General features: G+C 50.1%; 1 protein-coding gene and 1 long non-coding RNA gene across 15 annotated transcripts in view, besides 5 other annotated features; one reads left to right on the forward strand and one right to left on the reverse strand.

Moving 5' to 3' along the window:
- Positions 1–502: an enhancer, noted in NCBI's record as "H3K4me1 hESC enhancer chr16:67282619-67283120 (GRCh37/hg19 assembly coordinates)". NCBI's record gives its function as "activates a minimal SCP1, AML or CMV promoter by ChIP-STARR-seq in naive H9 embryonic stem cells {active_cell/tissue: H9 hESC(naive)}" and the evidence as "EXISTENCE:reporter gene assay evidence [ECO:0000049][PMID:30033119]".
- Positions 216–325: a silencer, noted in NCBI's record as "silent region_7599". NCBI's record gives its function as "represses an Ori minimal core promoter by ATAC-STARR-seq in GM12878 lymphoblastoid cells {active_cell/tissue: GM12878}" and the evidence as "EXISTENCE:reporter gene assay evidence [ECO:0000049][PMID:35858748]".
- SLC9A5 (solute carrier family 9 member A5) lies at positions 264–23,476 on the forward strand. Of its 14 annotated transcripts, NR_136664.2 has the most exons (17): positions 264–486; positions 3,827–4,129; positions 6,306–6,469; positions 6,678–6,756; positions 7,124–7,215; positions 7,754–7,974; positions 8,196–8,398; positions 8,630–8,719; positions 8,816–8,886; positions 9,603–9,732; positions 10,858–10,946; positions 11,105–11,231; positions 13,497–13,574; positions 15,637–15,807; positions 16,325–16,391; positions 17,373–17,510; positions 22,023–23,476. NR_136664.2 is itself a non-coding variant. In NM_004594.3 (16 exons), the coding sequence occupies exons 1-16, from the start codon at positions 300–302 to the stop codon at positions 22,493–22,495; spliced, it is 2,691 nt and encodes an 896-aa protein (NP_004585.1). In that variant the 5' UTR covers positions 264–299; the 3' UTR covers positions 22,496–23,476. The 14 variants fall into 14 exon arrangements, 10 of the variants coding, with proteins under 10 accessions (NP_004585.1, NP_001310902.1, NP_001310904.1 ...); NM_004594.3 differs by lacking the exon at positions 13,497–13,574 and having other exon boundaries at positions 7,038–7,215; NM_001323973.2 differs by lacking the exon at positions 13,497–13,574 and having other exon boundaries at positions 7,038–7,215; positions 16,328–16,391.
- Positions 503–1,002: an enhancer, noted in NCBI's record as "H3K4me1 hESC enhancer chr16:67283121-67283620 (GRCh37/hg19 assembly coordinates)". NCBI's record gives its function as "activates a minimal SCP1, AML or CMV promoter by ChIP-STARR-seq in naive H9 embryonic stem cells {active_cell/tissue: H9 hESC(naive)}" and the evidence as "EXISTENCE:reporter gene assay evidence [ECO:0000049][PMID:30033119]".
- Positions 4,420–4,602: a silencer, noted in NCBI's record as "fragment chr16:67287038-67287220 (GRCh37/hg19 assembly coordinates)". NCBI's record gives its function as "represses an EF-1alpha promoter that drives an FKBP-Casp9 reporter gene in an ReSE screen in K562 erythroleukemia cells {active_cell/tissue: K562}" and the evidence as "EXISTENCE:reporter gene assay evidence [ECO:0000049][PMID:32094911]".
- The window catches only part of LOC124903701 (uncharacterized), a 17,017-nt gene continuing 4,092 nt past the window's right edge, over positions 13,680–26,604 (reverse strand). Inside the window, exon 3 of the long non-coding RNA XR_007065092.1 lies at positions 13,680–17,396. This is a non-coding gene — a long non-coding RNA (uncharacterized LOC124903701). The remainder of the gene's footprint in view (positions 17,397–26,604) is intronic.
- Positions 21,919–22,176: a silencer, noted in NCBI's record as "fragment chr16:67304537-67304794 (GRCh37/hg19 assembly coordinates)". NCBI's record gives its function as "represses an EF-1alpha promoter that drives an FKBP-Casp9 reporter gene in an ReSE screen in phorbol 12-myristate 13-acetate-treated (for megakaryocytic differentiation) K562 erythroleukemia cells {active_cell/tissue: K562(+PMA)}" and the evidence as "EXISTENCE:reporter gene assay evidence [ECO:0000049][PMID:32094911]".

Consider the following 26,604-nt stretch of genomic DNA (forward strand, 5'->3'; position numbering starts at 1 on the left):
CGGTTTTGGGGAGGTTTGGGGGCGCGGACTCGAAGGAGTAGGTTGTGGAACTTGGGGGAGAGCTGCACTGGGGAATTTCCGGAGCTGGGACTGATTTAGGGAGGAAAGAGGAGAGAGTCCCCGACTACGAGAGTCCGAGGCAGGGTCTCGGAGCCTGGACCTGGCTTGGGGGTATCGGAGCCGGGATTGGGGGGAGCGGGCCCCACGTGCCTGTGACGCGGGGGCGCCCGGTAGGTGGCGGCGGCGACGCGGGGCCGGCGGCCGTGCGGTGCCGGGAGGGCGGCTGGGCAGGCGGCAGGATGCTGCGCGCCGCCCTGTCCCTGCTCGCGCTGCCCCTGGCGGGGGCGGCCGAAGAGCCCACCCAGAAGCCAGAGTCCCCGGGCGAGCCTCCCCCAGGCTTAGAGCTCTTCCGCTGGCAGTGGCACGAGGTGGAGGCGCCCTACCTGGTGGCCCTGTGGATCCTGGTGGCCAGTCTGGCCAAAATCGGTGAGTGCGTGTGTGCGTGCGCCAGGCCGACCGCCAGCGGCGGACCCGCCCCCAACACCCCCACCTCCTCGGTCCTCAGATTGGGGCTGGCTTCTTGCACGGTGCTGGGACTTAGGTTTGGATTCCACAAATCCGGGCTCTCGCCCAGTTCCTGCATCGCTTCTTGTGGGTCCCAGGTCCCTGTCTTCTCCCCTGGGAGCTCTGAGGATTTGCCTTTCTGAAGGGCTGTCCCCCGCTCTCCCCAACTCCATCTGTAGGCTCCTTTGCCCTCTCCGCTCCCCTCTTCCCCTTGCAGTAGGCCCTCTTCAGTCTGGTCTCTCCCCCACCAATCCCTAGCCTCCCAGAAACCTCTGTCGCTGGTGAGGATGTGTGGGGACATTGAGGGGAGGGTGTTCTCCCAAGAACACAGGCATCCTGGTTCTGAAAAAGCAGCCTTCCCTGGAGACCATGTCCGAGTGTCCATTCCCTTGGGAAACTACACTGCCACTTTTCCTCCAGCTCTCCCCTGCTCCCCACTTAAAGCTGCTGCCTTCTTGTGCCTGTGTATGGGTACCCCCCCAACCCACGTTCAGGTCCACATTCTTCTCACTTCAGGGTATAAGAAACTTCCGTGTATCGGGGCCTTCCTGTGTGCTGTCTACCCTAGATGCTTTCATACATCCGACCTCTTCAGTCCTGACAGCATTGAAGGCTGTGCTTCAGACTTCTTTTTCCCTGAATAGAGCTGCTTTTCCTTGCATCTGCTCCTTCCTCCTCCCTTCTGAGCAGCCAGTGGTCCCTCCTCCCACCAGAGACCCTCCTCCTTCTCCCTGTTGTGCTGGCTCTGCTGTGGGGGTGACTAATTATAGCTGAGCGTTGCTACTCTCTCCCCATGGATGCTGGCACAGCCTGTACTCCAGTCTCACCAATACAGCCTTCATGGAGGAATCACCCAGAGCCTAGAATTTGCCCCTCTTCTCCCACATGGACACTGCTAGGGGGTGAGGGGGCTGGGCAGGAACAGAACTCTCCACTCTGCTGTGGCAGCCTGAGATTAATAATGGAAAGTGGAACTCAATATGCCTTCCGGGAGCGTGGTTCTGTGATGGGGCTTGGATCTCGGGGCTGGGGTTAATGCATGAAGAGATGAAGATGAAATAGGGTCCCCGAAGGAGAGAAGTGGGAGACCAAAGTAGGGACAAGTATGGAGAGATCTATGACCATGTTTACCTTAGAGGTCCAGCAGCAATGAGAGTAAGAGTAGAAAGAGCCTCAGGTTTGGAGCCAACGATTGGGTTTGCTAAGTCTGTGAGTTGCAGAAGAGTTCCTGTCTTAGGGTTTATAGCAAAAACTGTAGTTTTCCCCATAAATCATGGTTCTTTTTCTAGTTTGGATGACATTTCCTATGGAAGTAAGAGAAGAGAGCCTCCTTTTCACAAGTCAAAGAAAATCCTCGAACAAGAGAAAAGGCAGAGCATTCAGGAACACCTTCCCCCAGCTTCATTGCTAGGAGACTTTTTCCCTTTTATTAAACAAATATTTACATAGAGCTCACTATGTGCCAGGCACTGTTCTAGGCCCTTTGGGTACAGCTTCCAAAGGGCACTGTCTTGGCATAGGGTCTCACAGAGGCTAATTTAGAGGTCTCCTTCCCCAACACCCCAGGGATTATGTAGAGAGAGATGTGTTCGCTTGTGGTCTGAGGACTTAAAGGAGAGCCAAAGAGTTTATTTTAGAGGACAAAAGTAGGAGTGGCTATAGTGCTAGAAACGCTTTTCTTCTCCCCTCCTACAGACAGAACTGTTCTATTTAATTAACATTTGGTGTGTGTCTAACATACTATGTGTCTGACATTATGCTAGGCACATTTGCATACTTTATATCATTTTATCCTCACCCTTGATGCTGGGTATTTTTCCTATATTACAAAAGAAGAAATTGAAGTTCAAGTAAGTTAAATAATTTGCCTGAGATCACATAGAATGTGCTAAGGCTGGAAGAAGACCTGGAGATCTTCTGATTGCTAAAGCCAAAGTTTTAAAAACTACGCAGTCCTGAGTGAGCCCATATAATGAAAAGCACATTGGGCTAGGAAGTCTACACAGCTCCTAGGAGGTATAATATACATTCTGGTCTAGTTAAGGAGTGAGGACATTATAATAGGTAACATTTATTGAGTGCTTACTGTAAAGTAGTGTGCTAAGTGCTTTTGAGTAGATTGTCTTTTTTTTTTTTTTTTTTTTTTTTTTTTGAGACAGAGTCTCACTCTGTCACCCAGGCTGGAGTACAGTGGCATGATCTCGGCTCACTGCAACCTCTGCCTCCCAGGTTCAAGTGATTCTCCTGCCTCAGTCTCCCAAGTAGCTGGGACTACCGGCACCCGCCACCATGCCCAGCTAATTTTTGTATTTTTAGTAGAGACAGGGTTTCGCCGTGCTGGCCAGGCTGATCCAGAACTCCTGACCTCAGGTGATCTGCCCACTTTGGCCTCCCAAAGTGCTGGGATTACAGGCATGAGCCACCGCGCCCCGCCTGTAGATTGTCTTTTTTAATGGTCACAATAATCTTATGAGATCATTATCGTTTTTACTCCCATTTCACTGATGAGAAAACTGAGTCAGAGACATGAAGTTATTTGCCCTAAGATCACAGAACTAAGCTTTGAATCCAAGCAACTTGACTCCAAAGACCCTGATTTTTACAGCTTTCTTACATATAAAAAGATACTGGGTAGCATTAGCTGAGGTTCAAATAATGGCTATGGATAAGGGTTGTCAGAGAAAGGTGAGGTCCCCTGAGGATGAAAGTATAAAGGAAGGGACATTTCTAGAAGGGGAAAAAGCAGTAAAGGCCTAGGTTACCATAGTGTGACAGGAGCACTAAGAAACAGATGACTTTGACTGCAGGGGAGGGTTTGTAGCCCTGGAGATTGGAAATTCTAGAAGTCTTGCATATTTCTCCTCCCTTGGTCCCAGTCTTAGAAGGTTGGCCAGGCGCGGTGGCTCACACCTGTAATCCCAGCACTTTGGGAGGCCAAGGTGGGCGGATCATGAGGTCAGGAGTTCAAGACCAGCCTGGCCAACATAGTGAAACCCTGTCTCTACTAAGAATATAAAAAAAATTATCTGGGCATGGTGGCGCGTGTCTGTAGTCCCCGTACTCAGGAGGCTGAGGCAGGAGAATCACTTGAACCCGGGAGGTGAAGGTTGCAGTGAGCTGAGATTGTGCTACTGCACTCCAGCTTGGGCAACAGAGTGAGACTTCATCTCAAAAAAAAAAAAACAAAACTGGGAGTTCATAGGCCTGTGTGTGGGAGGATATTCCATAAACTGATCCATCCTGCACTCTTTTTGCATTGCAGTGTTTCACCTGTCTCGGAAAGTAACATCTCTGGTCCCTGAGAGCTGCCTGCTGATTTTGCTGGGCCTGGTGCTAGGGGGAATTGTTTTGGCTGTGGCCAAGAAAGCTGAGTACCAGCTGGAGCCAGGCACCTTCTTCCTCTTCCTGCTGCCTCCTATTGTGTTGGACTCAGGCTATTTCATGCCTAGCAGGCTGTTCTTTGACAACTTGGGTGCCATCCTCACCTATGCCGTGGTAGGCACACTCTGGAATGCCTTCACAACAGGCGCTGCCCTCTGGGGCTTGCAGCAGGCTGGACTTGTAGGTGAGTGACCCTAAGACCTGGGCTTTGCCAGACCCATCACCCCTCTCCCTTCTCCTCAAGCTCTGGAGGCCCATGCTGGTGTGAGCCATGCCCTGAAAGCTCCATCCTAGGTCCCTCCCTCTGGAGTGCAAGGCAGTGCTCCCGCTGGGGTTCAGGCCTCATTGAGGTCTCTGCCAGTCTGGGCTTCTGCAGCATAACAGCTGAGCAGGAGTCTGGCTCCCAGCTGTATGTGGGCTGCCAAGGCTGGGGAGCCTGTGTTACCATTCTGTTGCCTCCTGCCCTCTGTTACCACATTGCCATTTGCCAGCCCGTCTCCCCTGAGGCATAGCTGTGCATCATTTCTGCAAGGGCCTGCTGTCCTGGCTCTCCCCAGGCCAGGTCTGGGTGGTTTTCTGTTTTTATTATTATTTTTTTTTCTTAACTATATGTTGTCTATAAGAAATTCATTATTTTAAACATTTATTTTTTTAAATAAATAAATAGATATTTAAAAAATAAATATTATAAATCCATCAAATGCTGGCACTACACTGGGTTTTCTCTCCTTACTTATCCCACTGACTCTTCATAGCAACCCTTTTGTGTAGTTTGTCACATTTACACATGAGGAAATAGAACCCCTTGCATTTGTTTGCTATCAGGTCCAAGGTTAGCAGAAGAGGTCCGTGTTTGTTGTTGTTGTTGTTGCTTGTTTTTTTGAGATGGAGTCTCACTCTTGTCCAGGCTAGAGTGCAATGGCATGATCTTGGCTTACTGCAACCTCCACCTCCTGGGTTCAAGCAATTCTCCTGTCTTAGCCTCCTGAGTAGCTGGGATTACAAGCACATGTCACTATGCCCAGCTAATTTTTGTATTTTTAGTAGAGATGGGGTTTCGCCATGTTGGCCAGGCTGGTCTTGAACTGCTGAGCTCAGGTGATCTGCCCACCTCAACCTGTCAAAGTGCTAGGATTATAGGCATGAGCCACCACGCCTGGCCCCAGGTCTGTTTTACTGAGGCTCTTTGCCTTTAGGTTGCCCTCTCTTGCTACCTTCTTTATTTCCTAACCCAAGAAATTCATTCAACCCTGAAGGTTAATGATTCACACTTTTTCCAAGGTATTACAAGAAAACGTTTACAATTGCTACCTGGGACTCTAACCTGGTTTCCCTATTGAGGTAGTGAACTATTTGGGGCAGGAAGGGAAGGGAGGACATCAGATCATAATAACAGTAATAGATAATAATATCTTTTGGGTGCTTACTATATGTTAGGCATTGGCTAAGGAACTTTTTGAGGTAGATATTGTTATTAGTCTCAATTTAGACATGGGGAAACTGGGGCTCATAGAAATTATATGACATATTCAAGTCCGATCTGTGTTGCTTTTCTTACTATATTCAGTTCTCCACACCTGCTGAGAATTGTGTCACATCCCTTTGGCCGGGAACCACAGGTGTGGGAGAAAGCACTCTCTTTTGTTATTCCCCCTAATAAAAATAGTTAGCAGCCAATTTCCATTTGCTGGTAGTTATTATTACTGTTGCTACAGTGCTTTTTCCCTATTTTATTTTATTTATTATTATTTTTTGAGACTGAGTCTCACTGTGTCACCCAGGCTGGAGTGCAGTGGCACAATCTCGGCTCACTGCGGCCTCCGCCTCCCTGGTTCAAGTGATTCTCCTGCCTCAGCCTCCCAAGTAGCTGGGATTACAGGCCTGCACCACTGCGCCTGGCTACTTTTTGTATTTTTAGTAGAGACAGGGTTTCACCATGTTGGCCAGGCTGGTCTTGAACTCCTGACCTCAGGTGATCCAGCCCACCTCGGCCTCCCAAAGTGCTGGGATTACAGGCATGAGTCACTGTACCTGGGCTTTTTCCCTATTCCAAATGGCTGGGTTGAGTTTTGAAACAATCTTGTGAGGCAGGCAGATGAGGAGGCATGGCTAAGGTGAGCCACATGACAGTGACGGACCAGCATCACACAGTTGGTAAGTGGCAAAGCCAGACCTTAGGCATAGGTAGCTTGACTGAAGTCTCCTGATCTGCAGGCTAATGCTGTCTTTGCCATCCCAAGTCCTCTTTGGGCTTCCTTGCTGTTATCAGCAGGGGTGGGGCCTGGGCTTGTTCCAGGGCGTGCTCCAGGAGACTGGGTCGTCTTCAATGACTGGCCTGTCCTACACATGTCCCTTAATAGCCCCTAGGGTGCAGGCTGGCTTACTGGACTTCCTGCTGTTTGGGAGCCTCATCTCGGCGGTGGACCCCGTGGCCGTGCTAGCTGTCTTTGAGGAGGTGCACGTCAATGAGACTCTCTTTATCATCGTCTTTGGCGAGTCCCTGCTCAACGATGCTGTCACCGTGGTGAGCGTGCTCAGCTGACTGCCATTCCCTGACCCCAGGCTGCATGCTCTGACCAACTAGGGGTCTGCGCAGACTCAGTCCCTTCCCTTGGGTCCCCTGGGGCAGAAATATGCTGTCTGCTTTCACCCTGCTCTCCCAGCAGTCTGTCTCCCAGCAGTCCCAGTTGCTGCCTTCCCGCCTCACTGCTGACTCTCCTCTTCTCGCTCAGGTGCTGTACAAGGTCTGCAACTCCTTTGTGGAGATGGGCTCTGCCAATGTGCAGGCCACTGACTACCTGAAGGGAGTCGGTCAGTATTTCCCCGCTCCCAGCTGGCATTGGAGGTCTGCCTCCCCTGGGTTGCTGAGGCCCTCCCACCCCGCATCAGGACAGAAGAGGCTATTCGGGTTGCCTCATCTCCTCTATAGAGAAATGGGGTCTGGGAGGGGCTTGCCAGGGATCCTGGCTCTGGGGTTTTGAGCCCCTGGGAGTGCGGTGGGCATCATCCCTCACTCCCTGCCAGGCAGCAGTCTTGTCAGCCCGGGTAGGGTCCGGGCCAGGGGTCATGCTGACAACCCACTCCTCCCCCAGCCTCCCTGTTTGTGGTCAGTCTGGGCGGGGCAGCCGTGGGCTTAGTCTTTGCCTTCCTCCTGGCCCTGACCACACGCTTCACCAAGCGGGTCCGCATCATCGAGCCGCTGCTGGTCTTCCTCCTCGCCTACGCAGCCTACCTCACTGCTGAAATGGCCTCGCTCTCCGCCATTCTTGCGTGAGTTCTGGGGGCCTTGCAGGCAGATAGCTGGGAGGGGGCACTGGAGATGGTTGCCCCTCATAGGGACACAGGCAGGAACTTCAGGAGTCCATAGGTTTCCCTGAGCCCTTGTGGTAGTGGGAGCCTCAGACTGTCCTGGGGAGTCAGTAAACCTCAGCAATATTTCAGGAGCTGCCCCCAGAGCTGTCCTCAGCACCCTGAAACCCTCTGGGTGTAGGCTGGGCTGGAAGTAGACTTTAAGGCCTGGGGCCACCAGCTCTGGAGGCCGCAGCACTCCAGAAGGTGCATTAGAGAGCCCGCTAGTCAGAGCACGTTCCTTCCACCTTCCCTTCCAGGAGACACTGAATGGGAAGCCTGGAGATCTGGACTCTTAGCCCAGCACTACCATTCAAGTCTTCAGGCCTCCCTGGGCTTCAGCTCTGAGAGTCTGACATCCTGTAATGGGCAATGCCCCCTCCTGCAGTATGCTCAAACCCTGGAGGCTGAGCCCCCTGGAACCCTTCCCCACTTGCCATGTCTCTCCATCCTCTCCCAGGGTGACCATGTGTGGCCTGGGCTGTAAGAAGTACGTGGAGGCCAACATCTCCCATAAGTCACGCACAACTGTCAAATATACAATGAAGACTCTAGCCAGCTGTGCTGAGACCGTGATCTTCATGCTGCTTGGCATCTCAGCCGTGGACTCTTCTAAGTGGGCCTGGGATTCTGGGCTGGTGCTGGGCACCCTCATCTTCATCCTGTTCTTCCGAGCCCTCGGTATTGCTGGCACCCTCTGCTTTCCCACTCTCCTTCCTGTCCCGCCCCTCCCTGCAGCTCATCTCCCTATCTGAGTCCACATCTTTGTCAATTCCTAAGCCTCCTCTTGTTGCTCACCTGTCCCAGCCCCTGTTAGACCTCAGCCCAGATACTTGGTCCCATCCGGTCCCACGTCCTCCACTCCCAACGCTTTGCTCCCACTGGCCTCCCTCCCGCTGTAGGCGTAGTCCTGCAGACCTGGGTGCTGAATCAGTTCCGGCTAGTCCCTCTGGACAAGATTGACCAAGTGGTGATGTCCTATGGGGGCCTGCGGGGGGCTGTGGCCTTTGCTCTCGTCATCCTACTGGATAGGACCAAGGTCCCTGCCAAGGACTACTTTGTAGCCACCACTATTGTAGTGGTCTTCTTCACAGTCATCGTGCAGGTGGGAGTGCCCACAAGGCTGGGTAGGGAGAGGGTTGGGCAGGCCCTGGGGGAGTCTTGGAGCCTGTGGGACAGGGGCTTCTCTTCCCGCTGGGAGATGGAGGGCCCTGACTTCCCAGACCTTGAGTGCAGTGGGGTAGGGGTACTGAAGCTGAAGCCTCATTACGGGGAGAGAAAGGCAGCAGGGAACTGAATAGGAATAGGGCAGGGCTCACCTCCTGCCTGTCCATAGGGCTTGACCATCAAGCCACTGGTCAAATGGCTGAAGGTGAAGAGGAGTGAGCATCACAAACCCACCCTGAACCAGGAGCTGCATGAACACGTGGGTATCAGAACCCCAGCCCTCGCCTGTCCCTCTCGACCTTCTCCTATTTTGGGCAGAGTCCTGATCCAGTCCCCCTACCCACCCCCCTTCTAGACTTTTGACCACATTCTGGCTGCAGTGGAGGACGTTGTGGGGCACCATGGCTACCACTACTGGAGGGACAGGTGAGGGAGCTGCCCCGAGGCTCCTTCAGCAGCAGCAGCCCCACCAGCCAGGGAAGCATGGGGGATGTGCCACACTTCTGAGAAGGGACAGAGCCAGGTTCAGGCTGGGTGACCTCTGCCTGAAGCCCTTCAGTGGCATCCCAGTGCTCTCAGGTTAAGACAAGGCTCCCCAGTGTGGCCTGCTTGGCCCTGCATGGTTTGGCAACTGCCAGACTCCAGCCTCATCATGCTCTGCTCTGTCTTTGACTGTCTGCCTGCTAATTCCATGGACCCTGTCTTAGATCCTCAGGACCCACCATGCTCCCCCAGCCTGGCCACTGGGACCTTCTCTGTACTAGAACACTCCTTCACCTCCCTCTCACTTACTCAGCTTCGATTCATCCTTCACAACTCACCATAGGCTTCAATTCCTTAGGGAGGACTTCCCTGGCCTCCCTGGCTAGGACGTATCTGTGTCATATTCTCTAATTATCCTTTGTAGTTCTTGTCATGGTTGCAATTTTACAGTGATTTGTAATAATTTCAGTTACTGTCAGCCTTTCCCATGACATTGTAAATTCCATGAGGGCAGGGACTAGCCTTGAGATTCTCTCTGGCTGAGGCCCATATCTAAAAAGCCAGGCCAGTGCTGACGGTGTCCTTGCCCCGTCTGAGGAAGGGCCACCTGGCCAGGCCTTGGGAATGGGACTCAGGGCCGGGCCTGGCATCCTCTGTAGGTGGGAGCAGTTTGACAAGAAATACCTGAGTCAGCTGCTGATGCGACGATCAGCCTACCGCATCCGGGACCAGATCTGGGATGTGTACTACAGGCTTAACATCCGGGATGCCATCAGCTTTGTGGACCAGGTGGGCCAGCAGCTTCCAGGTGGGCCAGTGGTGGGTGGGCAGATGGTCAGCAGAGCAGGACAGAAAGGGGTGGCAAGCAGGCTGGCCCTGAGCAGGGAGTTGGGAATTCCTAGCTGGCTCCATGGTCTGGTGAAGTGGCAGCGGCAGGAAGCAGCTGGGTCTGGTGCTGACATTCAGAGTCTGGCAGGCAGTCCAGAGAGGTGGGAAACAGCTGGACTCTGGGGTCAGCTCAACCATTATCACTTCCAAGCTTGTGACCTTGGGTAAGCACACTCTCTGAGCCTGTTTCCTTAGCTGTAAGAAAGCAGGCATAAGAGGCTGGGCACGGTGGCTCACGCCTGTAATCCCAGCACTGTGGGAGCCTGAGGTGGGTAGATCACTTGAGGTGAGGAGTTTGAGACCAGCCTGGCCAACATGGTGAAACCCTGTCTCTACTAAAAATACAAAAACTAGCCAGGCATGGTGGTGCATGCCTGTAATCCCAACTACTCTGGAGGCTGAGGCAGGAGAATCGCTAAAATCTGGGAAGCGGGCTGGGCACGGTGGCTCACACCTGTAATCCCAGCACTTTGGGGGGCCAAGGCGGGTGGATCATGAGGTCAGGAGTTCGAAACCGGCCTGGCCAACATAGTGAAACCCCGTCTCTACTAAAAATACAAAAACTAGCCAGGCGTGGTGGTGGGCACCTGTAGACCCAGCTACTTGGGAGGCTGCGGCAGGAGAATCGCTTGAACCCTGGTGGAGTTTGCAGTGAGGTTGCAGTGAGCTGAGATTGTACCATTGCACTCCAGCCTATGTGACAGAGCAAGACTGTGTCTCAAAAAAAAAAAAAAAAAAATCCGGGAACCAGAGGTTGCAATGAGCCGAGATCGTGTCACTGCACTCCAGCTTGGGTGATAGAGTGACTCTGTCTCAAAAAAAAAAAAAAAAAAAAAAAATAGAAAGCAGGCATACAAGTACCTATGTTATAGATTTTGTGAATTCGATATGTAAAGTGCCTAGCAGAGTACCTGGCATGTCAAAAGAGTAAACTAAGTGTTCGTTATTATTATTTTCTTTATTACCCCTGACTCCTGGGCAACCCTCCATCTGATTGCTGGCTGACCTTGGTCTTGACACCTGCAGGGAGGCCACGTCTTGTCTTCCACAGGTCTCACTCTGCCTTCTATGCCCAGCCGCAATTCTGTGGCAGAAACTTCTGTCACCAACCTGCTGTGAGTCCTTGAGCCCCTTCCCCTTCCTCATACTCCTCTCCATTGTGCCCTCTCTCTGAGTCCCTTCTGGGGGAGATTTGTCAGCACCTTTTCATCTGCCCTTCTCCTGGACTGCCTCCTGCCCCCTCTCCAGCACATGTGTCCCCTGCCTCCTGCAGGAGGGAGAGTGGCAGTGGAGCGTGTCTGGATCTGCAGGTGATTGACACAGTACGCAGCGGCCGGGATCGTGAGGATGCTGTGATGCATCATCTGCTCTGCGGAGGCCTCTACAAGCCGCGCCGTAGGGTGAGAGCAGGCAGGCATCAGGATTTTGAGGGGGTGGAGGTGGTCTGAGGAGAGCTTAAGAGGCAGTTGGCGCCAGCTTGTTGGAGAGCTGCAGATGCCCAGCTAAAGAGTGTGGGTTTCAGCCGGGTGCGATGGCTCATGCCTGTAATCTCAGCACTTTGGGAGGCCAAGACAGGCGGATCACTTGAGGTCAGGAGTTTGAGACCAGCCTGGCCAACATGGTAAAAATGAAACCCCATCTCTACTAAAAATACAAAAATTAGCTGGGTGCGGTGGCACATGCCTGTAATCCCAGCTACTCGGGAGGCTGAAGCAGGAAAATCGCTTGAACCCGGGAGGCAGAGGTTGCAATGAGCTGAGGTCTCACCACTGCACTCCAGCCTGGGTAACAGAGCAAGACTCCATCTCAAAAAAAAAAAAAAAAAAAAAAAGAGTGTGGGTTTTATCTCATCAGTAATAAGAAACCTCTGCTTTGTTTTTATTTTTTGGAGAAAGGGTTGACCTAATACAAGCACTGTTTAAGGATACCTTCTCTGGTAGCAGAGTGCAGATCAAATTGGAGGGGGTGAGTTGAGAAGCTGGGACAGCCAGTTGGGAAGATGGAGTGAAATATTGTGGATTAGGGCTGAGCGGTGGGAAAGAAGAGGGGCACGTAGGCCTAGGTGATTGGCTCTGATGGTGAGAGGAGGAGGAGACAGAGTACTGGGGGCCTTGAGGGTCACTGGAGAATGATGGAGTCACAGACAGAAGCAAGAGCACTGAGGAAGCCTCCTAGACCAGCTTAGCCTGTGGAAGGTGGGCATCTGTTTTAAATAATGGAAGTTAGTCCAATGCAGATCATGAAGCTTTGCGTCTGGAAAGGCCCAGCTCATCCAGGAGAGAGTCTGTTGCAACCCCACAAGAGGGCAGCAAGCCATTACCTTGCACCTTTCTAAAATGGGAAGCCAGCTGTCACCAGTTCTGGCAGTTTCAACAGTCAAAGCTCTTTCTACTGTTGAAACAGAATTGGCCTCCTTTAACTTGCACCCACTGGTCCTGATTTGACTCTTCGCAGCTCTGCAGAATACATCTTCCAAAATTTCAAGACAGTTCCCTTTCACACAGGCTCTCTTGCCCTCAGGCCAGAATCTCTTACCTCCTGGTATGTCTTCTCTGGACTTAAAAAAACAGCGCCCAGAATGGAAGTTGCTACTCTAGCTGTGGCTGGCCAGGGAAGGGCCTAGAAGCTCTGACACCATTCTAGTTCTAGAACTTGCTATTTCTCTTCCCACAGCCCAAGATCCCTCCAGCCTTGGCTCACCACCCTGGGGCCCCACATTGTCCTTAGAATCTGCTAAACTCCCAGGTCTTCCTCAGTTAATGGCTGGCAGACCCTGTCTCACTGCATCCTATGGGGTTTTTAAAAAACCTTTCTTATTCAAAATTCCAGTAGAACGAATAAAATAACTCATATTTATCTATCAACCAGCACTGAAAAATCAGTGCATGATCAATTCTATTACATTCTGCAGCCCTACCACATCCCTCCCACACTTTATCTTAAAACAAACTCCAGACATCGTATCACATCATCTCAAAATATTTCAGTATGTCTCTCTAGGTGGCAAGAACTCTTACATCCAGTCAGTATTCAATAAATATCTTTTCCCCGCTGGATGTTCAAATCAGGGTCTAAATAAGTCCACACTTAGCATTTGGGAAATATGTCTCTTCATTTAAAAAAATCTATAATAGTTCTTTTTCCCCTCTCTATCTCCCTTGCTATTTATTTATTGAAGAAGCTGGATACTTTCTCTTGGAGAATTGCACATTTTCTAGATTTTGCTGACTGTATTCCAGTGGTGTTGTTTAACATGTTCCTCCGTTCCCTATATTTCCTGGTTGTTAAATCTAGAGGCCTGATCAAATTCAGGGACATTCAATAGGTATGCTATATATTTTCTGTGGTGTCACATCAGGAAGTACATAATGATTTGGTGAGGTGTGTGTGTGTGTGTGTGTGTGTGTGTGTGTATGTGGTGTTTATGTATAAGATTGGTCAATGGGTTCAGTCCAATCGGTTCATGTGTAGTCTGTTTTTTAAAAATCTGGAATAAGTTTGTGTGTATCCTGTTAAATGTCATCTTATTTGCTTTAGCCCATCATCCCATTGTTTGGTTCCCATGTCTGCCACCAAATGTCTCCTTCTTAGATTCATATCATCTGAAAATTTGTTAAGCCTGTTAACTTTGTATTCATCCAAATCCACATAAACATGTTGAACAGGATAGAGCTGAGGACAGAGCCCTGTGGCATGCTACTAAAGACTTTCCTCCAGACTGACATGGATCAAGCATTTTTGGGGTATGGTAACTCAACCAGTTCTGAATCCACTTAGTATGATAACACAATCCACAATTTCTCATGTTCTTCATCGAAATATCATTAGAGAGAGACAGAGATATCTAGTTTTCAGTTAGAAAGATAAGATTATAGTTTAATAGAGAGATAAGGGCTGGAGAGAAATTTGGAAGCAATCTGTATCAGGTTTTGTCACCTGGCTACCACAGAATCCCCTGGGGAACTTCCTGGCTTCACCTGGAGATTCTGATTCTGTAGTCTGGAGTGGGACTAAGAATCTGTGTTCTTACTAAGTTCCCCAGGTGATTCAAATGCAGCTGGTCTGATGACTGATGTTGGGGGACCACAGATCTGTATCACTGGGATAGCTGGGGCAGAGAGAATGGATAAGTTCTCTGAGGAGAGTGTTTCATGGGGCGGGAGGAGGGCTAAGGATAACACTGAGGAGTGCGCATGGGAGAAAAGGAAAGAGAGCCAAAGACAAGGAACCCTTGGAGAAGCAGTGGCAGGTGGTGCCTCAGGCCTGGGGCAGAAAGAGGGCTGGATGCTGCGCAGAGGCCTGGCCAGCACCTAGGCAGAGCCCACAGCACTGGTGACCAGCAAGAAGGCAGCACTGTGGAGTTGTGGACCCTGGAGTTGCATTTCTGGTTTTTAAGGAAATAGTGGGTAGGAGAGAAAGTGTCAGAATCAAATTATAAAAGTGTAGCAGCAAAAGGGAGACAATGGTGTTCAAGGGAAGACTTTCTTTAAGGAGGCAAGGGCAGGAGCTTGAAAACAGAGGGGAGGGAGCCAAGTGGTGAGGTAAGGAGTGAAGATACAGGAGAGTGGAGGAATAGGAGGCAGCAGGAACTGCTGGAGGCAGGAAGGAGGGAACTGAGCAATGTGGAGGCCGGGGCTGGGCAGCAATGAGCCTTGTGAAGGAGATGGACCCCTTCTCCCCAGGAGAGAGGGTACCTCCTGGTGCATAGGTAGATGAGGAGGGCAGATGGAAGACTTGAAGGGGGCTCTTAGAACTGGTTCAGGGAAGCAGAAAATATGAGATAAAGGGACCAGACTTGGGATTTGAGGCAAGATAAGATGATTTGGCAGGCACTGGGAAGCATTTCAGGGGATTACCACTAGATGATGAAAAGGTGCTAAGCAAGGAGGGTAGAGGCAGAGGCAGTCTAGGTGAGTGTGTAGCGGGCTTGGTGTTGATAAGAGTTAAAAAGAGCATGGCCAGGCGCAGTGGCTCATGCCTGTAATCCCAGGACTTTGGGAGGCCAAGGCAGGCAGATCACTTGAGGTCAGGAGTTCGAGACTAGCCTGGCAACATGGTGAAACCCTGTCTCTACTAAAAATACAAAAATTGGCCGGGTGTGATGGCAGGCACCTGTAATCCCAGCTACTCGGGAGGCTGAGGCAGGAGAATTGCTTGAACCCCAGAGGCGGGGGTTGCAGTGAGCAGAGATCGTGCCATTGCACTCCAGCCTGGGTGACAAGAGCAAAACTCCGTCTCAAAAAAAAGAAAAAAAAAAGCAGATGATGGGGGTGATCCTGAATTATTGGGACTGAGAAGGTCCAGGGTGTCAGGGGAGATAGTTATGAAAGTTCAAAGTGCAGCCCAGGATATCATGGTGGTTCTTGTAGAAATGGCTAGATAGGAGATTCCAGCTGGAGAAAGGATCCTGTGTAGCTAGAAGGGGGCAGGTAGGCTGGGTGTGTGGGCGAAGCTCAGATAAATGGAGGTACAAAGAAAATGTCCCCCATGTTGTCACAGTAGTAGAACAAGACAGAGGGTCACCTTCAAACCAGAGAGAATCGGGAAAGGATGGCAAGGGTTGGGGAAGGCCAGGTTTGGGGGAATAAGTTCTGGGATAAAGGGAAGCTTTTCCCAGGGAACTGAGAACACAGGGTCTCTGGCTGGGTTCCTGTTGTATTTTTTGTTTTGTTTTTCAATCCATTGTTAATTCTGGAAAAGCTGGGCTGGCAGGTCCTGTGGTGAATATGTTGGGGCTGTGGCCTGGGGTTCTTGTGGGAGGCCAAGGCATCCATCCTCATAGCCAGGCGGGGCTGTCATTGCCAGTACAAAGCCAGCTGCAGTCGCCACTTCATCTCAGAGGATGCGCAGGAGCGGCAGGACAAGGAGGTCTTCCAGCAGAACATGAAGCGGCGGCTGGAGTCCTTTAAGTCCACCAAGCACAACATCTGCTTCACCAAGAGCAAGCCACGACCCCGCAAGACTGGCCGCAGGAAGGCATGTCTTCCCTCAGGGACTCCTCTTGGGAGCTGGAGGCTGACAGCAAGCAGTTTTGAGCCCCCTAGTGTTAGGATCCAGCTTAGGGGGAACCCCAGTTGGGACAGTCCTCAGGGGCTTGATGACTACAGCAGTTTGGGTTCCCTTTTAGATGTTCCTGGAGTCCCAGAAGGGTAAGGTGAGACCTTCAGAGGGGGAGCAGCCTCTTGGCCATGTGGTCACCTGCTGGGAGGCAGCAGGGCCGCCTACCAAAGATGAAAAAGGCAGGAGAAAAGGAGATTCCTTTGAGGGGCAACTCCATGAGCTCCTAAGTCAGCCCACGCTGATGCATCCAGATTTCTTACTGGGGCATGGGTCACTCTTGCCTGGTTGGCCAAGGGATGGTAGAACCACTGGGACTGACATAAATTCCCTCCCCTGCTGGGTTAGGAAAACTTGTCCTGTTGACCCCACCAGATGACAGGGTTGGGGTGGGAAGCCGGGGCCAGAGGCTCAGGTTTTCTTTCTTGGTCCTCAGAAGGATGGTGTGGCGAATGCTGAGGCTACAAATGGGAAACATCGAGGCCTGGGCTTTCAGGACACAGGCAAGCAGGGAGCAGTGTGGGATTGAGGATGGGAGGGAGGAGGGAAAGGGCTGGGGCTTGCCAGCCAGAATCCTGGAGGACCCGCTGTAGGGTGCATTCAGCACCGTGACCTGGGGCTCTTCCTCCAGGGACTTGATTTCCAAGTTGGAAATGTTCAAAGCAGTTATTAGACAATGCGTGACAGGAGGCATCTGATTGCTAACTATGGGTTACAGGCCCCGAGGACTTGGAAAATGTGTCATGGAGATGGGGGAGTTTGGTCTGGGCCTTGGAGGATGGGTGGACTCTGGGGCCCAGTGTCCTGTCTGCAAAGCCAATTTTGTTTTGTTTTTTTGAGACAGAGTCTCACTCTGACAAGCTAGAGTGCAGTGGTGCCATCTCGGCTCACTGCAACCTCTGCCTCCTGGGTTCAAGTGATTCTTCTGCCTCAGCCTCCCAAGTAGCTGGGATTACATGTGCACGCCACCACACCTGGCTAATTTTTTTTTGTATTTTTGGTAGAGACAGGGTTTCGCATTGTTGGCCTGGCTGGTCTTGAATGCCTAACCTCAGGTGATCCGCCTGCCTCAGCTTCCCAAAGTGTTGGGATTACAGGTGTGAGCCACCGCACCTGGCTGCAAAGCCAGTTTTGTATGAGCTGAATGTTAATGGGCCTTCCAGCAATCCAAGTGCTCATGTTTCCAGTGGATCGTGGGATTTGGGGCTGAAAGAAGAGGATGGGGGAGCTGGAAAGTGTGGTCCTCATGACTTCCTCCGGGGACTTAGCTTCCTCTGGTCGCTTCCTTGGGCTCCGCAATGTCAGTTCTCTTCCTCCCAAGTCCCCACCTCTTAGGCCAGTGCTTGAAACAGCCAGAGGAGAAAGCAAGTGTCTCTGCCAACGTGTGTTCTGCCTAGGGAGACAGGGAGCTGGCTTGGGGCTGTGTAGTCCCAACAGGCAGCTGCCAGCCCAGGATGCCTGACTCTGCTCTTGTCTCTGTCCAGCTGCTGTGATATTAACCGTGGAGTCTGAGGAGGAGGAGGAGGAGAGCGACAGTTCAGAGACAGAGAAGGAGGACGATGAGGGGATCATCTTTGTGGCTCGTGCCACCAGTGAGGTTCTCCAAGAGGGCAAGGTCTCAGGTAATGGCTTCCTCCCTGCCCACCTCCCCTCTGGAGCAAGCTGGTTTCCTCTCTCTTCACTCATGGCCTCTACTCCAGACAACTCCCTTTTCCTATTCACTAGTTTATTCATCAGCCAGCATTTGCAGAGCCTCTTCTTCATACCAGATGCCCGACATAGGTAATATTCAACCCTCACAACAACCAAGATGGGGAAACTGAGCTTAGAGAGCTTAAGAGACTTGTGACTTGTCCAGCATCACATAGTAGAACCAGAATTTGAACCTGACTCATCTGACTCCCAAGCCCACAGCCTTTCTTTTTTTAATTTTTAAATTTATTTTATTTTATTTGAGACAGAGTTTTGCTCTTGTCATCCAGGCTGGAGTGCAGTGGTGCGATCTCAGCTCACTGCAACCTCTGGCTCCCGGGTTCAAGCAATTCTCCTGCCTCAGCCTCCCTAGTAGCTGGGATTACAGACGTGCACCCCCACGCCTGGCTAATTTTCATATTTTTAGTGGAGATGGGGTTTCACCATGTTGGCCAGGCTGGTCTTGAACTCCTGACCTCAGGTGATCCACCCACCTTGGTCTCCCAAAGTGCTGGGATTACAGGCGTGAGCCACCATGCCCGGCCTATTCTTTTCTTTTTTTTTTTTTTTTTAAATGCCATTCTTGCATTGCTATAATCTTTTTTTTCTTTTTCTTTTTTTTTTTTGAGACAGGATCTCACTCTGTCACCCAGGCTGGATCATGGATTGCACAATGGCATGATCATGGCTCACTGCAGCCTTGATCTCCAGGGCTCAAGTGATCCTCCCACCTCAGCTTCCCGAGTAGTTGGGACTACCGGTGTGCACTAGCACACCCAGCTGTTGTTTTTTTTTTTTTTTTTTTTTTTGCTACGGGGTTTTGCTCTTGTTGCCCAGGCTGGAGTGTAATGGTGTGACTCAGGTCATGGCAACCTCTGCCTCTCGGGTTCAAGTGATTCTTCTGCCTCCGCCTCCCGAGTAGCTGGGATTACAGGCATGCGCCACCACACCCAGCTAATTTTGTATTTTTAGTAGAGATGGGGTGTCTCCATGTTGGTCAGGCTGGTTTCGAACTCCTGACCTCAGGTGATCTGCCCTCCTCGGCCTCCCAAAGTGCTGGGATTACAGGCATGAGCCACCGTGCTCAGCACCCAGCTGATTTTTAAAAATTGTTTGTAGAGATGAGGTTTCACTGTGTTGCCCAGGCTGGTCTCAAACTCCTGGCAGTCTTCCCTCCTTGGCCTCCCAAAATGCTGGGATTGCAGGTGTCAGCCACCGTGCCCACCCACACCCTTTCAAGGCCATGCTGCCTCCCTTTGTAGTCTAGTGAGGAATAGGAGGTGGTGAGCAAACCATGGGCTCTGTTGAGACCCATGCCCTCAAGTAGATCCCCAGGTGAAGGTGGCAGCCTGACCTGGAGGAGCAGCCTGAATTCATCAAAATGGAGTTATTGTGGACAAAAATACAGTATATAAGCATTTTTCTGTATGTATAGAGACCTAATTCACTCATATTGTTAGTATCACTGGTGGTTGGCACCCTCAAGTGTCTTTAAACATTTTTTATTATAGAAAATTTCAAAATATACAATGATAGAACTATAAAATAAACTCCCATCTATCCATTATCCAGCTTCAATAATTACCTACTCATAGCCAATCTTATTTCACCTAAACCTCACCTATGCCCCACCCTCCACTGGGTTCCTTTGATGCAAGTCTCAAATATCATATCACTTTATCAATAAATACTTCAGTACATGTCTCTAAAATATAAGGATTCTTTTTTTTTCTTTCAAGATGGTCTCTCTCTGTCACCCAGGCTGGAGTGCAGTGGTGCGATCATAGCTCACTGCAGCCTTGAATGCCCCGACTTAAGCAGTCCTTTTGCCTTAGCCTCCCGAGTAGCTGGGACTACAGGCACACACCATCATGCCCAGCCTTTTTTTTTTTTTTTTTTCTGGTAGAGATGAGGCCTTGTTATGTTGCCCAGGCTAGTCTTAAAGTCCTGAGCTCAAGTGATCTTTACTTCTCAGCCTCCTAAAGTGATGAGATGAAAGGCGTGAACTACCATGCCCAGCCAGATAAGGATTTTTTTTTTTTTTTTTTTGAGTTAGGATCTCTCTTTGACACCCAAGCAAGAGTGCAGTGGCCGGATCATGACTCACTGCTTCCTCAACCTCTTGGGCTCAAGCCACTCCACCCGGCCTCAGATAAGGATTCCTGATGCATGCCTCTAGTCAATTGACCCCAGGAGGCTGAGGCTGCAGTGAGCTATGATCACGCCACTACACTCCAGCCTGGGCAACAGAACAACACTCTGTCTCTTGGGGAAGAAAAAAGGATTCTTTAAAAAATATGTAACCACAATGCCTTTCCCATATCTAAAAATCTGTCATCAAACATCGTTCAAATTTCCCTGATTATATATATATATATATATATATATATATATATATATATATATATATATATATTTTTACAGTAGGCTTGTCCAATGTCCCTTTTAACCTATAGCAGTGATTCTCCAGGGGGATGGTGGTGGAGTGATTTTGCTCCCCCAGGGGACATTTGGCAATGCCCAGAGACATTTTTGGTTGTCACAACTGGGGAGGATGGCCTTGGATGGAGGGGTAGAGGCCAGGGATGCTGCTAAACATCCTACAATGAACAGGACAACCCTCACCAGCAAAGGAGTAGCTGTCCCAAAATGTCAAGTGTCAACTTTGATAAACCCTGATCCATAGTTTCCCCCAAACCCCCTACTTTTTTTTCTTCACGATGTATTTACTGAAGAAACCTGCTTATTTGTCCTACAGTCTTTCTCTGTCTGGATTTTGTTGGTTGCATCCCCAAAGTGTCATTTAATATGTTTCTCTGTCTCTTAAATTTCCTTTAAACCAGTAAATCCACAGGCAGTGGCTCACACCTATAATTCCAGCACTTCGGGAGGCCAAGGTGTGCAGATCACCTGAGGTCAGGAGTTTGAGACCAGTCTGGCCAACATGGTGAAAACCTGTCTCTACTAAAAATACGAAAAAAAAAAAATTAGCTAGGCATGGTGGTGGGCACCTGTAATCCCAGCTACTCTGGAGGCTGAGATGGGAGAATAGCTTGAACCTGAGAGGTGGAGACTGCAGTGAGCTGAGATCGTGCCTCTACACTCTAGCCTAGGTGACAGAGCAAGACTCCATCTCAAACAAACAAAAAAACAAAAAACCTCGCCTCATCAATTATTTGGTTACTTTGAGGTACAGTTCACCCAGTAAATGCTTGATTCTTTCATTTATCAGTTTTCAGACCAAAGAATTCATTCCCTAGCAGCCTGTAAAGGTGAATACCAAAGGTTTTTTGTTTTACACTTTTTGTTGTTGTTATCGCATTTTAATATTCCAGGTCTTTCAAGAGATACCATTTTACTTTTAATCATAGCATCAATACATTTCACACATGTACTCAAACAGAAGCTTATTGGGCTGCTCAGGACTTTATCGATGAACAGATACAGGCTGTACTGTACTTTGGAGAGCTGGGGTGGTTGGTGGCCAGAGGAATTCTCTTTCCAGGTTTCCTCCTTCAGAACCTCAGATTTCCTGTAATTCAGCCCCGCCCCTGCAGTTCTGGGATTCTTAGCTCAGGTCCCCTATGCCTCGTCATCCCCTTTGCGGCAAAGCTCTGGCCTGCTGTTAGGTTTGCATGAGCTCACACTCCTGGGCTTTGTCCCACCAAAGGGCTGTGGTGGGTACTCAGGCAGGATGCTCAGCAGAAAAACCTTTGGCCTGTAGCCTCCAGGTCTTTCTTTCCCTCTCTGGTGGCTGGCGTTTCTCCCTCGCTGGTTGGCTGGGATGGGGCTTGGCAGGAGGCTGTTTCAGAGACCAGTGCTGCAGTAGGGTGAGGGGACTGGAGATGGGGCTTCCTGCCTGGCTCCTGCTTTTGCTATCTTCTTATTTTTTATTTTTATTTATTTTTTATATAGAGTCTCACTCTTTCACCCAGGCTGGAGTGCAGTGGCGAGATCTCGGCTCATTGCAACCTCTGCCTCCCGGGTTCAAGTGATTCTCTTGCCTCAGCCTCCCGAGTACCTGGGATTACAGGCGTGTGCCACTGTGCTTGGCTAATTTTTGTATTTTTAGTAGAGACAGGGTTTCATCATGTTGGCCAGGCTGGTCACTAACTCCTGAGCTCAGGTGATCCACCACCTTGGCCTCCCAAAGTGCTGGGATTACGGCATGAGCCATAAGCCAACTTTCCTTATTTTCGTTTCTTTGATGAAAATAATGTTCAATTTCTTGAGCAACTACTGTGTGCCCGGCCCTGTGCTAGGTGTTGGGGATAGAGTGGAGAGTAAAACAAGCTGTGGTACTTCGCCTCAGCAAGACATTCATCCGATAATCGCAAAAATGGACGGCATATGGAAACTGTGGCATGAATTTATAAGAATGTGCTTATACTTGAGATTTCCACTGTATTGGTAATGAGTTCATGTGTACTCTCTGTCCCCAGGAAGCCTTGAGGTGTGCCCAAGCCCACGAATCATTCCCCCCTCCCCAACCTGTGCAGAAAAGGAGCTCCCCTGGAAGAGTGGGCAGGGGGACCTGGCAGTGTACGTGTCCTCGGAAACCACCAAGATTGTGCCTGTGGACATGCAGACGGGTTGGAACCAGAGCATCTCATCCCTGGAGAGCCTAGCGTCCCCTCCCTGTAACCAGGCCCCAATTCTGACCTGCCTGCCTCCCCATCCACGGGGCACTGAAGAGCCCCAGGTCCCTCTCCACCTACCTTCTGATCCACGCTCTAGCTTCGCCTTCCCACCGAGCCTGGCCAAGGCTGGCCGCTCTCGCAGTGAGAGCAGCGCTGACCTCCCCCAGCAGCAGGAGCTGCAGCCCCTCATGGGCCACAAGGACCACACCCATCTCAGCCCAGGCACCGCTACCTCCCACTGGTGCATCCAGTTCAACAGAGGCAGCCGGCTGTAGCTCAAGGCCTCGGGGAGGAGCAGGAGGTGGAATCCCTGTGGGAAGTGCTCCCTGGGTGATGGGTAGAGCCCTCGAAACTTGACATGGGGCCAGAAGGGCCTGGGTTGAAGTAGTAATTGGGCTTCCTTGGAGCTAGTCAGAGGGGTCACCTAAGCTGGTCCTCACAGGGGCCTTTCTCACCACCTCCCTGCTCCTAACCCCTGCCACTTTCTGTTTCATTAAGGCCTCTACTCTGGCTCAGGACCCAGTCCAGGCCTTCTACGGGCTAGGCCCAGAGACTTGGGTTGCTGGTCCCCCTTCCCTAGTGGGTTTTCCCGGGGACTCTATAGGCAGCTGCTCCTGCCCGCAAAGCAAGAGCATCATTCCTATTCTTCAGTGGATGCCAGCCTTCCCTGCCCCAACTCCCTCCCCAGCACTGGGTCAGTGGTGTCCTGGCAGTGAGGCTCCGTGAGGGGCTGGCCCTTAGAGGAACTGGGGTGGGAGGTGGGGCAGGCCTCACCCTTGGGCTTTGCTGCCCTGTTGGGTCAGCTACCCATAGTCCATTTTTTTAGGGCAGTGGGAACCTCTGCCTCCACTTCCTGCTTTAGCCCCTTCCCTTTGCTGCCAGGTATTGGGGTAATATTTCCTCCTTTTCCAAGACCAAGGCCAAGAGGCTGGGCCAGGCTTCAGTTCAGGCCTGTTGCTTAACTGGGGTCACCCTGGGATCTGCTGCTCTGGGTCTAAGTCTAGACCTTTCTGATCCTTGGGTCTGGGTTTTTTGAGGAGGGGACATAGTGGCCTCTGGGCTGCCATGTCACCACCTGAACATTCCCCAAACAGAGAAGGAACCCAGCATCTCAGGGCCACTGCTCCATTGCTCTGGGGGCTGGGATGCCTGGCTAAGCAGGGGCTGACAGGGTGGCAGGTGACTTTCTAGGGATCAGCACCTGCCCTGTGTTTTGTACCTTGAACCTAAGATATATTAAACATCTCTCAGATGGATGGGTGTCTTGTGTCCATGTGTCAGGGGGTTCTTAGGGTGGGGGGCAACAGGGGCATCTGGTGAAGGAGGTGAGAACCCAACTGCCTGCCCCAGGGATTGAGAATGGAGGGGAATCCTAGGCAGGACTATTCATCCTTCTGGTCCCCTGTCATGCATTCCCCAATACTTTTCCAATATTGTCCCCTTAGCAGGGGTCCTGCAGTGGTGGTCAAGGGGATCACTGTTTTGGCATCGAGTCACAGAACTAAAAGTCTGCAAAATGAGAAAGGCTAGCAGGGAAAGACCCCAGAGGTCAGGTGCCAAGCTGTCCTGATGCAGCCACCACACACCTAGGACCAGATGAGCATTTCTTGAAAACCTGGATGCAGGTACAGGACACATGAACAGAGGTGGCCTTTTGCACATGACAGACAGGAAGGCAATCTCAAGGGCTCACGGGATTTGGTTACCGTGTTTATTTTTTATTTTTGGAGACAGGATTTTGTTCTATCACCCAGGCTGGAGTGCAGTGTCACAATCATAGCTCACTGCAGCCTGGAACCCCTGGGCTCTAGGAATATTCTCGGCACAGTCTCCCAAGTAGCTAGGACTACAGGTGTGTACCACCATGCCTGCTAAATTTTTAGTTTTTGTTTTTATTATATTTATTTATTTTTAGAAACAGGATCTCACTCTGTCACCCAGGCTAGAGTACAGTGGCATGATCTCGGCTTACTGCAACCTCTGCCTCTTGGGTTCAAGCAATTCTGCCTCAGTCTCCTGAGTAGCTGGGACTAGAGGCACATGCCACCATGCCTGGCTAATTTTTTGTATTTTTAGTAGAGACAGAGTTTCACCACGTTGGCCAGGCTGGTCTCGAACTCCTGACCTCAAGTGATCTGCCTGCCTCAGCCTCCCGAAGTGCTGGGATTACAGGTGTAAGCCACTGTGCCTGGCATATATATATATAATTATATATAATATATATAATAATATATATTATATATTATATATTAATATAATATATAATATATATAATATATATTATATATAATAAATATATAATATATAATATATATTATATATAATAAATATATAATATTATATAATTATATATTATATAATATATATTATATATATTATATAATATATATATTTTTTTTTCCTGGAGGTAGGGCCTCACAATGTTGCTCAGGCTGTTCTTGAACTCCTGACCTCAAATAATCCTCCTGCTTTGACCTCCTCAAGTGTTGGAATTACAGGTGTGAGCCACCTCACCTGGCCATCTCTGAGTGTTTATGATGCAAATCAGATAGTGTGGGGTCCAGAAACATGAATAGAAATCCCTAGATGGCCGGGCACAGTGGCTCATGCCTGTAATCCCAGCATTTTGGGAGGCCAAGGTGAGTGGATCACCTGAGGTTGGGAGTTCGAGACCAGCCTGACCAACATGGAGAAACCCAGTCTCTACTAAAAATACAAAATTAGCTGGGTGTGGTGACACACGCCTGTAATCCCAGCTACTCAGGAAGGCTGAGGTGGGAGAATCACCTGAACTCAGGAGAATAGCTTGAACCCAGAAGGCAGCGGTTGCAGTGAGCCGAGATTGCACCATTGCACTCCAGCCTGGGCAACAAGAGCAAAACTCCATCTCAAAAAAAAGAAAAAAAAAGAAAAAAAAGAAATCCCTAGATAAGAGCAGTCCCAAATCCAATTCCCCTGGTGTCTAAAGGACTTAAAACAAAAACAAAAACTTTGGCCCAGCACAGTGGCTCACGCCTGTAATCCCAGCACTGTGGGAGGCCGAGGCAGGTGGATCACCTAAGGTCAAGAGTTCAAGACCAGCCTGGCCAACATGGTGAAACCCCATCTCTACTAAAAATAACAAAAATTAGCCAGGCATGGTGGCGCTCACCTGTAATCCCACCTACTCGGGAGGCTGAGGCAGGAGAATGGCTGGAACCCGGGAGGCAGAGGTTGCAGTGAGCTGAGATCGTGCCACTGTACTCCAGCCTGGGGGGCAGAGAGAGACTCCATCTTAAAAAAAAAAAATCTTTGAGAGCTGGGCACAGTGGCTCATACCTATAATCCCAGCACTTTGGGAGGCCAAGGCAGGCGGTTCGCTTAAGGCCAGGAGTTCAAGACTAGCCCGGGCAGCATAGCAAGACCCTGTCTCTACCAAAAATCCAAAAAATTAGCTGGGCGTGATGACTCGCAACTTTAGTCCCAGCTACCCAGGAGGCTGAGGCACAAGAATAGCTTCAACCCGGGAGGCGGAGGTTTCAGTGAGCCAAGATCGCACCACTGCACTCTAGTCTGGGTGACAGAGCAAGACTCCATCTCAAAACACACACACACACACACACACACACACACACACACACACACCAAAAAAACCCCATATATATATATATACACACACACACATACACACACATATATACACACGCATATATATACGCATATATATACACACACATGTATATACACATATACACACATATATACACATATACACACACATATACACATATATACACACACATATATACACATATATACACACACATACACACACATATACATATATACACACATATATACATATATACACACATATATATACATATATACACATATATATACACATATATATATATATATACACACACATATACTGCACTGCACTGACTAGAGTGCAGTGGTGCGATCTCGGCTCACTGCAACCTCTGCCTCCCGGGTTCCAGCCATTCTCCTGCCTCAGCCTCCCGAGTAGGTGGGATTACAGGTGAGCGCCACCATGCCTGGCTAATTTTTGTTATTTTTAGTAGAGATGGGGTTTCACCATGTTGGCCAGGCTGGTCTTGAACTCTTGACCTTAGGTGATCCACCTGCCTCGGCCTCCCACAGTGCTGGGATTACAGGCGTGAGCCACTGTGCTGGGCCAAAGTTTTTGTTTTTGTTTTAAGTCCTTTAGACACCAGGGGAATTGGATTTGGGACTGCTCTTATCTAGGGATTTCTTTTTTTTTTTTTTTCTTTTTTTTGAGATGGAGTTTCGCTCTTGTTGCCCAGGCTGGAGTGCAATGGTGCAATCTCGGCTCACTGCAACCGCTGCCTTCTGGGTTCAAGCTATTCTCCTGATTCTC

This window comes from Homo sapiens, chromosome 16 (genome assembly GCF_000001405.40).
Source record: "Homo sapiens chromosome 16, GRCh38.p14 Primary Assembly".
NCBI lineage: Eukaryota > Metazoa > Chordata > Mammalia > Primates > Hominidae > Homo > Homo sapiens.

Excerpts from the sequence above, each read along its gene's own strand:
- SLC9A5 (NM_004594.3), top strand. The coding sequence starts at position 300 with ATGCTGCGCGCCGCCCTGTCCCTGCTCGCGCTGCCCCTGGCGGGGGCG. Across the intron at positions 487-3,826 it reads GGCCAGTCTGGCCAAAATCG|TGTTTCACCTGTCTCGGAAA; the intron begins GTGAGTGCGTGT and ends TTTGCATTGCAG. Across the intron at positions 8,887-9,602 it reads TACCACTACTGGAGGGACAG|GTGGGAGCAGTTTGACAAGA; the intron begins GTGAGGGAGCTG and ends CATCCTCTGTAG.